Source organism: Homo sapiens, chromosome 4 (assembly GCF_000001405.40).
Source record: "Homo sapiens chromosome 4, GRCh38.p14 Primary Assembly".
Lineage (NCBI taxonomy): Eukaryota > Metazoa > Chordata > Mammalia > Primates > Hominidae > Homo > Homo sapiens.
In genome coordinates, this window is record NC_000004.12 from 74,281,131 (window position 1) to 74,297,503 (window position 16,373).

Below are 16,373 nucleotides of genomic sequence, written 5' to 3' on the forward strand. Positions count from 1 at the left end.
TGTGACATACAAAAGGATGCTGCTCAAGCAGGTATCCCTGTGATGTCAGGTGAGCCATCTCTGAAGTGAGAGGCTAGCTCCTGCAGGATTTCATCCTCAGAAGTCCTGATGTGCTGCCTTAATCATCTTTGTTATTCTCTCGGATCAGAAATCATCAATGGCCTGTTTTTTAAGGAACAATGTATTACACATACGTGTGTGTGTGTGTGTGTGTGTGTGTATTTTTAAAGCCTACCAAAACAGATATGTACACCTTTGTTATGCTGAAGGACAAACAACTCTTTTTGTTTTCAGGTATTCCAAAGTTGATTACGTCTGATATGGTTAAAGAAGGTGCTGCTGTAATTGATGTGGGTATCAACTATGTCCACGATCCAGTGACAGGAAAGACAAAATTAGTTGGAGATGTGGACTTCGAAGGTAATAAACCAATATCTTTTGATAGGTGAAGAAGATAAAAAAATTCCACCTTACGTATTTTAAAAATAGAGAAGTTTCATTTATGGAGGAATTATTAACTTATTAATCATCACCTCTTTCTTCTGAGGGAAAAGATTTTAATCAGACTTAAATATTTACTTTCTCCCTTCCTCTCTCTTTCCCTCCCTTTCATCCTTCCTTTCTTCCTTTTCTCCCTCTCTTCTAATTGTATCATTAATATTTGGTTTAGGGATCAAATTTCTTATAGTACAGTTTTTATTGATAGAATACAGCTGGCCTTTTATAGACCTGGGCATAGTTTTGAATTTTGGGAGTTGACATCTTACTCTACGCTTAGTCAAATATGCTCTATGCTCAGCCATTCACTCTTAGAGCCAGAAGGCACCTTAGGGTGTGTCTGCCAACCCTAACTACATTTCAGATCTAGGTAGTTATCTAGATAGTTGAAGTCAGTGTTTTTCACTTGTGTTTTAGAGAGAATAAAGAAAAGGAACTAAGCTAAAGTTTTTGTGGTCGATGAAAGATACAAGGCAACAAATATGTAGTAGTAAAAAAAAAATTCTAACCCAGTCTTCTCTTTACAATAGGGGAAACTGGGCCCCAGTACTTCTAGATGCCTGACCCTCTAATCTGATTTTACTTCCGTTATCTTTGTCATATATTTACCTGCATTCAGATTTTCAGTGTGCCTAGGAGTCTTAGATGTCTATGAAGGCATGAATATAGTAAAGTTAAGTGGTGACATTTTTATGTTAGAAATATTTTTTGTATAAGAGTGATTATTCTGGCCAAAAAATACAGTGCCACATCAAGAACTTTGTTAGTTATAGGTGTGTCCTTCTTACAGAGAAACTGAAAAGAATAGGTGATGCCATTTTAAAAATAATTTAGATTTTGTTTTTTCACTTAGAACCTGGTCATCAGGTGATGGTTTACCCAAGTTCTAGCATATTGTTGAATAAAATAGAAAATGCAGATAGTTAGAAGTGTCCTAGGGTACTGGCCCTATATATGTGAGATTCTAAGATACATCAGGGACCAGATCCAAGTAAGCCATTTGAGCCTAAAAGAAAAAGAAAACTGTAAGGACACATATGTGCAACAATGCGTTCTAGAGACAAAATGGTGTAAATAAGAGCAAAGTACAGATGTACCGTACCAAAGAAAACACTGCTGCCCTCATTGGCTCTAATACACAGGGTCTCTGACATGGTTGGAACTCTATTCTAGCAAGGCTGGCTCTTGACATGAACATGTCTATCTGTACGTATATACATATGTCTGTGTGTGTGTTGTGTACATGCTGAAATCACTAGGGAATGACCTCATTTATTTATTTAATCTTCCATGTTCAATCACTTAGGCCAGATATGAGTAACTTATTTGAATTTCTCAACTTGAAAGAGTAAAGTGCATTTTATTTTAAAACCTGGCTTATTTATTTTCTTTACTGTCATTCTGTTTCTTGATAACATTATAGTTATGCATTCATTGCAAAATTACCACATTTGTGATGCACCCAGATGGCACTGACAACATGAGATAACCAGCTTGAGGCAAGAAAAGCAGGGATGTTTGCAGTTCACAGCCTTGACTGCCTGTAAGGCAAGCTTACCCAGCAGTTCAGTCCAGCACATTTTACAAGACTCTTCTCTCATAGAGTATTTTTTTGGTCTCATGTCACTTCCATGCTTTCTTCTTTTTTAAGTAAGAATGTTTTTTACTGAAAGTAAAAAGTATTCTGAAAGCAATTTTTACATGAGCATTTTTGGTGGGTGTATATGCTTAGTAGCACATATACTCACTTCATGTCACATGAAGTCTAACTTGTTAATGATTATTAAATCAAATTGTAGTTCTGTGTATCTAAGTATATATAAAAATTTTAAAAGGAGATGGAAAAGAGACAAAGATATGAGATGAACAGGGCTGGGAGACCTAGCCTGTTGCCCTATAGTTTTGCCACCTCACTAGCTGTCAGTGATATCAGTTAAATGATAGCAATTATATTAGTGGCTCCATTCAGCTCTACTGTTTGGCATATCTTGGACATCCAACAGAGCATTACCAAATGATCGTGTAAAAGCACAGAAACTTTCACCTGGAAGGTCGAGCTTTTCTAATCCTCTCATAAAAGACACCCATATGATTAGTTGTATCTAGCTTGCCAGCCTGCTGATTCATGGAGCAAGAGTACTAATGAGGACCTGGACTTGGTAAAGAAGGCTTTGCCAGTGAGGCCATGACTCAGCCACCCACAGGAGCAGGCAAGTGATAGGTTTTGACATGTTGCTCTTCAAGTTGTTCATCAGGACTTAACCTGAGGTGAAGGATGATCCCCCAACTGAGAGGGAGGAATTTTAAGATGGGTTATGCCACAAAACTCATAAGTAACATTTGGCTTCAAATTGCCACAGGGAAAGTGTGGTGGCTGCTTTGTGAGTATCGGTGAAAAGTTTCACTATAACTATAGCCAAGATAAACAAAACAGATGTAGATAAAATCAATCGTTGAAGTAAATCGTCCTTGCAGAAATCTTTGTTTCATTAGTAAAGAAAACTGGATGACCCCGTTAAAAGTAGGTAACATTGATGGGAATGATTTATCCACATAAATAAACAAAATGGCTGTGACAGAAAGGATGACAATGTCCCAGAGGATGTAAAAAACTTCACATTAAAGGAATCTGCAGTGATATTTCATGCCATTGAAAGGGCAAAGGATAAAATGTTGGAAGCTGATTCATACTTAGAAAGGAATCTGCCAGTTCACCAAGGCATAGAAAAGATGCTTGCTCCTTCTAACTGGTGTGAGATGGTATCTCATTGTGGTTTTGATTTGCATTTCTCTGATGGCCAGTGATGATGAGCATTTATTCATGTGTCTTTTGGCTGCATAAATGTCTTCTTTTGAGAAGTGTCCGTTAATATCCTTCGCCCACTTGTTGATGGGGTTGTTTGTTTTTTTTTTTCTTGTAAATTTGTTTGAGTTCTTTGTAGATTCTGGATATTAGCCCTTTATCATATAAGTAGATGCAAAAATTTTCTCCCATTCTGTACATTGCCTGTTCACTCTGATGGGAGTTTCTTTTGCTGTGCAGAAGCTCTAAAAATCAGGAAACAACAGGTGCTGGAGAGGATATGGAGAAATAGGAACACTTTTACACGGTGGGACTGTAAACTAGTTCAACCATTGTGGAAGTCAGTGTGGCGATTCCTCAGGGATCTAGAACTAGAAATACCAATTGACCCAGCCATGCCATTGCTGGGTATATACCCAAAGGACTATAAATCATGCTGCTATAAAGACACATGCACACGTATGTTTATTTCAGTACTATTCACAATAGCAAAGACTTGGAACCAACCCAAATGTCCATCAATGTTAGACTGGATTAAGAAAATGTGGCACATATACACCATTGAATACTATGCAGCCATAAAAAAGGATGACTTCATGTCCTTTGTAGGGACATGGATGAATCTGGAAACCATCATTCTCAGCAAACTATCGCAAGGACAAAAAACCAAACACTGCATGTTCTCATTCATAGGTGGGAACTGAACAATGAGAACACTTGGACACAGGAAGGGAAACATCACACACCGGGGCCTGTTGTGGGGTGAGGGGGATGGGGGAGGGATAGCATTACGAGATATACCTACTGTAAATGACGAGTTAATGGGTGCAGCACACCCACATGGCACATGTATACATATGTAACAAGACTGCACGTTGAGCACATGTACCCTAAAACTTAAAGTATAATTTAAAAAAAGACTTAAAAAAAGATGTTTGCTCCTAATCATCAGTTGTATGACCAAAAGAAGGCAAGCACCATTCAAACTATTCTTTGCAAAATGTTTACAGAGAAATAAAACACTTCAGTTCTCAATGTTTCCAAAATTTTAAATTGCATTCGTTTTTTTAAATATTAGTTTAATTTTGCTAGTAGTTAGTAGTAGTTTTACTATTAATTTTACTACTAGTAAATAGTAATATTTGTTTTACTATTATCAGTAATATTAATTTTACTACTATTTTTAATCCCCTATACATTTATAGACCACAGTAAGAGAACTTTTAATGTTTTGACAAAAAATTTTTAAAGGTCACTAAACAAATATAATTTCTCCCATTGACTACTAAAATTGCTTTGCACTGTTTCAACAGTCATCTTTGTGGTCTTACACTACTGTGAAAACTGAGCACTGCTTGTATTTTTCTCTGTGTCTAATTAAATCTCATGAAATTAGTGATCATATAGTTCAAATTCATATCCAATGCCATAATCACTTCTACATGATTATTCAGTTGTTTGGTTACAGTTTCTCACTGTTACTATTACTGTCTAGGTAGGTTGTTCACTGTGGAAGGTAATGTTTGCTAAGCACCTTGCCAACCATTATGTTCTTTTCCTCAACATACATTGAAGTTAGGCCTTTCCTGCAATGCCATGCCTCTCTGGATGTTTTGGGAAATAAATAGGACCTTAAAGTTATTACTAAATTGAAGTGCTATTTTGTTTTGTATTGATTTCCAGTTACAGAACTTGACAGTTCATCAATATGTCCAGCTTCTGACAAATGCTTAACATTCCTCTTCTATTACTTGAACATACTTCCTCCCTCCTAACTTATGTCATTAAAAGAAGAAACAGTATTTAAAACCATCTGTGATAACATTATTTTGCATGTCTAAGAATTATTTTTCATTACTAATAATCATGCAGCAAATAATTATTCATTTATAAGTTTATGTTTGCTATATAGATTATTACTTTTTTACACTTAGGTATACCTACTTTCACAGGCAATTTTTTTAAACCATTTTCTATTGTAGCTTAGAAAGAAACTTCATACATTTCTGACAAAGAAGGCTTTATTCTCAAAAGATAGAAATGAGATTATGTGCCATGAGTAGTAAATAGCTTCTTGTAAATAACACATTGGAAAACAGTATGTAGTCCTAGACTCAAAAACTCTTAATTATACCGTTCTTAATTCATCAAATGGATTTGATCAGCTAAACAGTCTAATTAATGACTTCCATGCTGTTAATTCAATTAACCATGCTCTTATGGGTGAATTCTTGGGCCTCATTTACTTCTCATAGCTAACGCAAAGACATTTCTCTACCCTTTTGAAGCTTTAGTAGCTTTGCTTCAATTTTATGATGCTTCCTGCAGGGATTGAGGTGGAATAAGAACTGGAGTGTCTATTCCCTGTTGCCTGCCATCTCTCCTCCCTGTATTCCAACTCTGACAATGCCTTTCCACTTATTGGTTTATACTAAAACAAGGAATGAAACAGACAGGAAAGAATTGGTGTTGTAAAGAAATGAAAGAGACAGGAAAGAGAAATGATGTGTAGGCATTTTTGTTAAAGTAAAAATAAATGAGGTTAATGTTTAAGAGTGACTTTCCTCTCTCTACTGTCTTAACATAATTGGATAGTAAAATTTAAAGTGGTAAGTCTTTGTAAAGGTGATAAGTCTAATGTAAAGGTACATTATATTGTTGATGAAACTGGTTTAAATTACAAAAAATAAAGAAGTCACACTTTATGGAAAAGAATGTCTACTCCTCTAGCGCAACTGACATTATCATTGTATTTTGTACTAGAGTTGCTTCCAGATATTTTATGTATGCATCAACTATATAGTTTGAGGAATATATGTGACTTATGCACTTAAACTTGTTTTACTGATTTGCCATGCTGAAATTCTGGTTTGTGGTTATGTTCAGTGCATGTATCATTATTTGGTTCATCCTTTTTCTATTGTGAAACTCTTAGGTTGTTTCCATTTTTTCCTTTTAAGTATTATACTTGAGTATAGGTGAAGGACTATAACAAAGGGGAACCAAAATGCAATGACTCAAGATAATTTGGCTAGCCAGGCATGGTGGCTCACACCTGTAATCCCAGCATGTTGGGAGACCGAGGAGTGTGGATCACTTGAGGTCAGGAGTTCAGGACCAGTCTGGCCAATGTGGTGAAACCCCGTCTCTACTAAAAATACAAAAATTCGCTAGGTGTGGTGGTGCACTCCTGTAATCCCAGCTACTCAGGAGGCTGATGAAGGAGAATTGCTTGAACCTGGGAGGCAGAGGTTGCAGTGAGCCGAGATCGTGCCACTGCACTCTAGCCTAGGCGACACAGTGAGACTCTGTCTCAAAAAATAAGATAATTTGGCTCTTTCCCATAAAAGTCTGGAATTAGGGAGACAGTCAATGGAGTTAGGCAGCTATGCTTCATTCAGGGATACTGTTTTCTCCTATCCCACTGTTTATATTAGTTTTCCAGAAATGCCATAACAAAGTACCACAGACAGAATGGTTTAAACAGAAATTTACTTCTTACAATTCTGGAGGCTGGAAGTCCAGGATCAGGGGATTGATAAGGATGTTTCTGCTGAGTCAACCTTGCCAGGTAGATGGCCATTTTCTCCCTGTGTCTTCTCATTGTCTTACCTCTGTATGTGTCCATGTCCAAATTTCCTCTTCTTAGAAGGTTGGATTAGACCCTATGCTAATAACCTCATTTTAACTTAATTTTATTTTTAAAGACTTTGTCTCCTGAAACAGTCATTCTGAGGTACTGGGGTTAAGACTTCAACATCTGAATTTAGAGGGGACACAATTCATCCCATAACACCGTTCCACCTGAGTGTTGTCCTTATCCACATGGTTGAAGTTGAATTGCCTCCTCATTTATGTTCTCTTCTAAGGAAAAGTGAAAGAGAGAGCCCAGAACAATAAAATCCATCTTTAATAAAATTGAACTAGAAGGTGCATGCATCACATCTGCTAGCTTTCTACTGACCTGAATATAGTCATGTGTGGAGTACAAGGGATGTGGAATCCATAGTCTCTGAATGGGAGGCTACACTTTGGTAAATAATAATCTACCCTTTACATAAGAACTTGAAGACTAATCTCTTACTTAGGGTAGAAAAGAAAGATATTTATTTATCTAACATCCACATATCATTCAGCTTACCTATCCAGAATTCATTTTGTTCTGAAAAACCTCAGGGGACAATCTCGTCATTGTCTGATTGCTTTCTAATTGGTTTCAAAGCATGCTCCACTTACTAACTTTTTTCTGAGGTTTTGGTGAAATCCTAGTGTCACTGAAGACATATCTTGGCTCAGATCTTACCCTGAGCTTTCCATGGATCTTAGATACACAGATTTGCAATAACATTTGTGCAGGTAATACAACCTCACCTAAATGTCTTTAATTCTAACTAAACTGTTTATTATTCAATCATTGATATAGATTTGATACTTTTTGACCATGTTATACAATTTTGAAAATTGTGTCAGGTCCCTTTTGTGACTTTCATTTTTTATATCTCTATCTTCACTGGCTTATTTTCAGTCTCTTGATTATTACTGTTTTTAGTGTAGCCCTTCAGATTCTTCAAATTAGGTTCATTCATTTAGTTGTTCAATGCTATTGAGCATCTGCTATGTGTCAGGCATTTTTATAGTCACTTGGGATACAACAGTGACCTAAAAAGACAAAGTACTTACTCACCAGTAGCTTCCATTTTGGTTATAGGAGACAGATAATAAACAAATACATATCTATATAACAAGGCAGTGTCTTAGTGATACAAAAATAAAACAAGATAAGAGGGCTAGAGAATGGTGGCATGGAGTTTCTTAGAAAAGGTGGTCAGGGAAGGCTTATGCTAACCTGAATAAATGAAGAAGGGAGTCGTGGACAGATGAGGGAGCAGCATTCCAGGCAAGTGGAGCAGCAAATGCAAGACCTTGAGGGGGGCCTGGCTGGCGGTTTTTATGAGCTGCAAGGGGGCCATTGTAACTGAAACAGTAAGTAAGGAAGTGAGTGATAGAGAATAAAGTCAAAGAGGTAGCAGCAATCCCATCTTATAGACCAAGGAAGGATATTTGGATTATACTCTAACGCAGTGGAAATCCATTGGAGGATGTGGGGCAAAGAAATCACATTTGACTTGTATTTTAACAGTGTCACTCTGGCTACTGAATGACACATAGGCCGTATAGAGGTAAAGGTGTAAATAGGGATACCTGTTAAGAGGCTATTGTAATTATCCAAGTAAGAACTGATGGGGCGTGGACCAGGTTGTAATGGGTGAAGATGTTAAGAGGTGGTTAGATGGTAGATATAATTTTAAAGGAGAGTTGGAATGATTGGTTAAACAAGTAGATATGAGGGAAAGAGAAGAATCAATCAAGTGTGACTCAAAGGATTTTGGAATAAGCAAGAGTGGAGGTGCCAGTTCTGGAATCCTCTTGAGATGAATCTTAAAGGTTCAATGAATTTTACTCAAGTATGTGTATTTAGGGTAGATAATGGGCAAAAGAGAGGAAGGGGCTCTTTCCTGGTAGAGGGAACAAAGAATCAAAGGAAAGGAGGCAACATTACAAAAGGTTTTATGCACTCAATAGCAGACCCAACATGGGCTGTTGAAAGAAGGAAGTATGATATTGTATACAATTGTGAATTTTCCCCAAATATCTGGTGCCTTATTTTGAATTTTTCAAAAGAATCTCCACCAGGCAGGAAATCTCCCCTATAAAGGGACCTTTTAATTTGAGACTCCATCTGGCGAAACCATTCCTCAAAATTCCAACCCAATAGTCAAGCATAAGGTCAGGAAAGGGTTTGGAATTACATAGAAGCTCAGTATCATTATCCTAAGAAACTACTAGAGATGAGGTGAAAACCCCTGGAGTGCTTTGTAAGCAGCTTTCTATGTTTTCTTTTAATGCTTTGTATTTGAAAGTTTGGATTCATCTTTCACTCCCTGCTCTTTTTGTATTATGTCCAACCTTTCATAAAAGACTATGCTTTGGAGTCAAGCTAACTTGGGTTTGAATCCCAACTCTACTGCTTAAAACAATTATGATCTTAAGTAAATCATTTCACCACTCTGAGACTCAATTATATCATCTGAAAGATTGTGATAATAATTTCCATCTTATAAAGTTGTTGTGAAGATTAAATGAAATAATCACCTTACATAAGCTAGTTAATGTAGGTGAATTGCCAAGCATAATGCCTGGTGAAAGACTGTGTGTGTGTGTGTGTGTGTACGCGCGAGGGTACATTGCTCACGTTTTCTCTCCATTCCCACGAAAGTATTAACCCAGAAGTATACAACTTCACGCTTCAGTTACCACCATCCTCCTCATTACTTTTCTGGCCTAAACTCTCTTCCAGTGTAGTCTGTTCTCTTTGCCCAACTCTCATATGAATCAACTTTAAAGCACTCATGCTTATTCCCATCTTCTCCTGACTCTCCTTACAGGTTTAATTTGCCTTACTCATTTTGCTCTTAATGCTATACTGCGTTGCACTTTTACTTAGTTGTTCCTAACTAGATTGGATGCCTCTGTAAGATTAGCTTCCTGTCTTACATTTATTTTTCCTTTTCTTTTTTTTTTTTTTTTTTTTTTTTTTTTTTTTGAGATGGAGTCTTGCTCTGTTGCCCAGGCTGGAGTGCAGTGGTGCGATCTTGGCTCACTGCAGCCTCCACCTCCTGGGTTCAAGCAATTCTCCTGCCTCAGCCTTCTGAGTAGCTGGGACTACAGACGCACGTGCCACACCCAGGTAATTTTTGCATTTTTAGTAGAGATAGGGTTTCACCATGTTGACCAGGATGGTCTTGATCTCCTGACCTCGTGATTTGCCCAGCTCGGCCTCCCAAAGTGCTGGGATTACAGGCATGAGCCTTCGTGCCTGGCCCATTTCTTTTATATCTCTGTCCCACACCAAATTTCAGCCTTCTTATTCAGACCACTGTTTATTTGTATGAACATTCTCTGTATTTAAAAACCAGTGGTATCATTCTTACATTACAGAAATACTCCCCTCAAGTTAACTTAATGGGAACAAAAGCTTTCATGCAGAGTAATAGCAACTATGTCATTAATTCAACAACACATATTCATTAATGATACATCCATTGATTCTTCGTTTATTTACTCAGCACATATTTTGTGAGTGCTGCTTCATACTAGGCACTATTTGAGGTCCTGGGTATATCTGTGCACATGATAAATAAAGTGCCTGGAATTTATGTTTTCCAGATTATGCAAAGTAAGCTTATTTGGAAAGTAGTTTGGCACTGCTTACTCCCAAGTGTGTGTTCTACAACATGGGAAAGTAAGTGTATATAATCAGTTTCTAAGTAAACAGGGATGGTTTTTAACTGTATCATTTTTACAAAACTATTATTAATCTGTGATTACAAAGAATCAAATTAAAGTGACTCCCAACCACTTCAGTTTTCAGTGTCAATCATTTAATTTGATGATATGGCTAATCAGTCTGACTCAAAATATCTACATTTTGCATTAGATAATTATAAAGTAGTTCAAAGCTCCAGCTTTTACTATAAGAGAAGATCTTATACTTTAACCCAGAGGTAACTTGTTCCAATCCTTTAGAAAAGTTGATGAACATTATAAAAGCCCCTCTGTGAGACTGTTATTAACGCTGTGATCACAGAACCCACACTGAGCATTTCACGAAACAGGTAGAACCACTGATGGTCACTATGAGATTCCTATCATTAGTAAGTCAACTGCCTCCATTGTGGCTTACAACATGGACAGAATGGTTACTGTGAAGTCTAGGCCTTTGAAATCAAATCAACTTCTAGAGACTTCTATTTAGTAGATGTCTTTGACATTGGATCATCTACCTTTATAGAGCAGAGTTAAAGTTGAAACAAAAAATACATTCACAGGAACAAGAGAAGTGACTAATGCTTCTGCAAGTTTTTCTTTGCTTGAACTGTGATGAGTTTTTTTTTATAGTTGTTTCTCAGTGATCCATATTAAAACACAAATACCTATGGAAGGGAGATTTTATCTGCTCCTATCTCAGACTACAGAGATTAAGGCCCTGCCAAGAGATTTGGAGAGTACTCCAGAAAGCTTTATCTAGTTTACAGATTTGCCACTCTGATACAAATATTCAGTGACTTCAGGCAAAAGGGATTGGGTGGGGGAGGGAAAGGATTGGAGACAATGACAAGAGTGTATGATGATCTTGTATTTTTAAAGACATGATGAAAGGGAGATATTTTTAGTAATTTTCCCAGCTCTTAATAGAACTACCAGAAATATCATAGCAGTATTGTTACTCCTGCCTACTGAAATGGAATCTGGCAATGACAGCTGACAGCATCCATGGTCAGAAAGAAGGTTTCACTGATAGGTCATAGCTGGAGTTCACAGAAAGCAATTTTTTTTTAGTAGAAATATCTTTTTTATTTTATTTTATTATTATTATACTTTAAGTTTTAGGGTACATGTGCACAATGTGCAGGTTTCAGAAAGCAATCTCAAACTTTCTCCAGGTGACTGACATGCTATTTGGTTCCACTAATTGTCTTCTAAGTGGTATGAGTGGTATTTTTTTCTAAGTGGTATGAGTGGTATTTATTTTGTTTTTTATGGTTTTTTGAATAGGTTTTTAAATTATTATACTTTAAGCTCTAGGGTACATGTGCAGAACGTCCAGGTTTGTTACATAGGTATACAAGTGTCATGGTGGTTGGCTGCACCCATCAACCCATTGTCTACATTAAGTATTTCTCCTAATGCTATTCCTTCCCTTGCCCTCCACCCCCGACAGGCCCCAGTGTGTGATGTTCCCCTCCCTGTGTCCATGTGTTCTCATTGTTCAACTCCCACTTATAAGTGAGAGCATGCAGTGTTTGGTTTTCTGTTCTTGTGTTAGTTTGCTGAGAATGATGGTTTACATCTATAATACAGATGACCAGATATATACAGATTTAATTTAATGTAAAGGAAAATAAAACTTAGCCACCCTACAAATACAAATTGCAAAGTAAATACATTTCTACCACATTAGGACAATAATCCTCTCTATTTCATTACTGACCACAGGATGCCACGATAATGAACATCTCAATATATTTAGAAAACTTGTGGAAACCTCAAGATTCAGCAACCAGATGAATGTAAGAAGAAATATAGTAAATTCCCTCCGGAGCACTTGATTCCTGGTTGCCTTCCAAGTTCAATGGCAAGCTACTAACTTGTTAAGGAGCCCTCTGCTCCCTGGTTCACCATGCTCTTAAGTGTCATTTTTCTATCAACCATATGAGAAAGTGGAGTGTTTTCTGTATTATCTCCTGAGTCATACTATTTCTACAGTCCTATGTCATTCAGGTTTTTCTGGTTGTTATTCCTGTACTTCATTTTCCTGAAGCTTGTCTCCCCTTCATTAGAGTGGATGTTTGAGAGGCCACGCTTAAGTGGCTTGCATTTAGAAGCATGGGAAAATACTTCAAGCATTTAATTTAGACAATTACATATGTATACCAGGAGGATGAAATTCACATGAGAGAAGCAAGAAATTTTTGTTCTGCTGCCTTGCCACAGATAAGGAATCATCCTTCTTCTTTTTGGGGGAGGGAGTTGACTTTAAAAAATAATTATAGCATTGTGGAGAACTGACATGGGCCATAGAGTACTTCTTTAAAAGAGACAGTGAAACAGACAAAATAGAAAGACAACACAATACTATAGGAACGTGAGACATCAGTTCTTCTTTCTCCACTCCAAAAATAAATTTATAGAGAACAAATATATTCTTTAACTTTGCCAGAATATACAATTTCCAAAATATACTAGCAAAATTAATTCTGCTTAGATACATCTGGAAATGCCATTATTTGGGACCTTTGGAGTATATATAATGTACTGAAGTAGAAATTTACTATTTGCCAAGGAATTAGAGAGTATTCCAACAAAGTATCTTAAATAAGAATCTGAATTGTTCAATTCTTGGCCCTGGGAACCTGGGAACATAAAGTTTCCAAATGAAGCAATGACAGAACACACCAGCTGGAGACACCCTGTCATGAAGGATGGATTGATGGTGCCAGAAGATTCATGACCACGTACTTTCTGTTTTATTCTTACTTAAGTTTTTAAAGGGCATTTTAGTGTCCTTTATGTTGCTATTGGTATCCTTCATGAGTACAATTTATGCACCCTGTCATCTATGCCACCCTTGGATTTTTTTGGAGGCGTCCATATAAACTGGATGATTAGTTTCTTCCATCATCTCTATCATCACCTCAAATTTTAAATATGAAAGAACCTCTGCACTGTACCTATTGTTCTTATACTGACATTGAAAGATGGTTGTCTTCAAGTTAGAATCAAGTAAATGATGCCAAGCCAAGTTTTAGTTCTTCCTTTTAGAAATCTGAAGCCAATAACATAGGGGGGAAAGTCATCAGCCACATAGGGGAGAAGAGAGAACACGGAAGATTAGACATGCATGGCAGGCTGAAAAAGAATTTCTTGAGTAATGATTTACTGGGATGCAATAGCCTGAAACTTCATGAAAATGCAAGATGAATTTCTCCTTCACTACTTTCTTCTAAAATTATTTAGTAGTATACATTTTTCTCACAAGTTTTTCATATTACAAAAATGATCACTCCTAAATATGTAAATAGCCAAGTTTATTCATGAAAGACTCTTTTAAAAGCTTATTCACCCTGAACACAGTAACTACAGCTACCATCACCCAACCTCAGTTTCTTGACCCCATATAGCCCATGATCACCTCCCCGGCCTCCTCTCTTTCTTCTCGCTGTTTTCATCATGTGCTTTGGTCATAATGAAGTCATTTCACCTCCTCCATTATATTAAATTTATTGTCAGATCCAACCCACCTTTGCTTTTACTCTTCCCTGTGTCTGCATTGCTTTCTCTTTCCCTTTCTTCCCTGCTCAGGTGTCCATCAATCTTGCAGCTTTTCTGCAGCTTTACAAATCTTTCTCTGATCCCCATATCGGATTTATGTTTTCTCTTGAGGTACTCCCATAAGTGCCTGAATTCATTCCCACCTTAGTGAATCTCAATTTACTTTGTAATTTTTGTGTTTATTTCCTTTCCTTTCACCCCAGATATTAAACTCACTTCATTAGAGAAATGTGCAAACACAGAACAGTTTCTTCATTTGATTTTATGCTGCCTGAAATGTTTTCCCAAATGTTAAAAATACTTTAATCATTTCTTTTAAATTAATATACAAAATACTTGATATTTTCTATGAGCCTCTACATAACCAGACACTGCCTACCTCTTCCATGTCACCTCCTTCAACTCTGTCTTTACTCCTGCATCTCAGCCATACTGGCCTTCTTACAGTGTTTCCAAGAGTTCAGGCTGCTTTCTACCTGAGGGAAGCTTCTTGCCACCTTTATCACATTGTCTCCCCTACACTGTCTATTCTACACCTCTCTATTCCACATGGAAAAACTCGGCATGGATATGCCACATTAATACACAGTGCTGTTCAGGCCCAGATCCTCTTGACACCTTCACAGTGCAGCACAAATTTCATGTGTAGCACATATCACTGCCGTGGCTCAATTATTATTTAGGCAATTGCCTTTTTAATGTCCATCTTCCCAACTAGACTAAAAGCTCCATGAGGCAGTATCTATGTCTGTCTTGCTCAAGGAATAATTGTTACGAATCTATCTGGTCCAGTTTATGGCATGTGTGGGAACAGTGACTAATTGAATATAGGGCTAGAACATGATGCAAAATAAAGATGTTGGGCCAGAAGATAAAAGACCTTGATTGCCATAACAAAGAATTTATATTTTATCCTAGAGACAATGAAGATCCATCAAATGTTTATAAGCTGAGATAATCAAATCTGTGTTTTAAAGAATAACTCTGGCAGCAAATTATATGGCTGACATGGTGGACTGGGAGCCAAGAGGCTACTGTAGTAGATTATAAAAAATGGCCACACATTTATTTTGTCCCCATGTGTACATCCCCTTTGCAGGGTGACTTGGCCACTCTTGTTACTCCAAGTCTTTGAATTTCAACTTGATCGTGTGCCTTCCTTTGGTCAATGGCACATTAGCAACTCTTATGTAAGCAGAAGTGTGAAAACCGTTTGCACATTGGGGTTTGCCTGGTACTTGCCTGGGAACCTGAGGCCATCGTGTAAAGTAGCCATACTACAGCAGTGAATTCCAACCAGATTTTAAATTTTCTCCATTCCGTTTATATGTATAACATTCCTTTCCCACCGTTAGAAATATCTCTCACTTCAAACATTAGTTCTCAGTGGTGCGTATTGACAATGTGCAATATTGGGATAGGAGGAGGCATATGCAGTATGACTTAATCTCACAAGAGATTCCACTATGCTCTATGAATGCAAATTGAAAGTCACTCTACTAAGTCTCACTGATGAATGAATGAACAGTTAACTTAGCCTGGGGAGTTAACAGGCTCCACAAAGAAAGTGACATTTATGCTGGACCTGAGAAGGAAGAATAAATATTCATCAGCTGGAGAAGTGAGAGAAGGGCACGTTAGACAAAGAGAATAGTATGTACAAAGGCAAATCTTACATCCAAAATGACTGTTTTTAAATCTCTTTTATTTTTGTACAACTGAACACACACCCTAACATTCTTAATTATGCTGGCAAAGCTATAGCACTTTCAAGGAAATATATGGAATTACTTTGCAGAGTCTAAAGTTTGCAGAGAGGTCATCCAAATAAATTATTATGATAATTATTAACTTTCCTCAAAACATTCTTATTTTCAGGAACTTACTTTAAACATTTCCATGTCATCTTCATCTAAGTCTCATTCTCCAGAGCAAGTTTAATGCGGACAATAAGATTTGGTGATTGTTTATTTGTCTCAATTGTCAAATAGTTTCAGTAGGTCTAAAATCATGTTGACTTTGTGAAATTGAATCTAACCCTGGTTTTGCCATGTGTCTTCATTAATCTCATATGAAAGGGCTGATATCAATCAAGATCTCATACCTCATTCCCATATATACCAAACTTCTGGTATTCCCTTAAACAGACACAAATATGCCCTCACACCTACACCCACAG

The 16,373-nt window shown here is 37.1% G+C and overlaps 1 protein-coding gene and 1 long non-coding RNA gene across 15 annotated transcripts in view; one reads left to right on the top strand and one right to left on the bottom strand.

Annotated features, from left to right (window-relative positions):
* Positions 1–16,373, top strand: part of MTHFD2L (methylenetetrahydrofolate dehydrogenase (NADP+ dependent) 2 like) — a 188,540-nt gene that overhangs the window by 166,571 nt on the left and 5,596 nt on the right. For 5 of the 13 annotated variants that reach the window (XM_047415712.1, XM_047415713.1, XM_047415714.1 and 2 more), the window contains 2 exons: positions 295–420; positions 12,359–12,432. The exons of 2 other annotated variants lie outside the window; for them this stretch is intronic. In XM_047415712.1, coding sequence (XP_047271668.1) covers positions 295–420; positions 12,359–12,432 — 200 coding nt within the window. Of the gene's footprint in view, positions 1–294; positions 421–12,358; positions 12,433–16,373 lie in introns of those variants that run through there. 6 more of the 13 variants (NR_147097.2, XM_047415715.1, NM_001351314.2 and 3 more) reach the window with 2 other exon arrangements.
* LOC105377276 (uncharacterized) overlaps positions 1–16,373 on the bottom strand; it is an 87,048-nt gene that overhangs the window by 2,837 nt on the left and 67,838 nt on the right. The window lies entirely within an intron of this gene.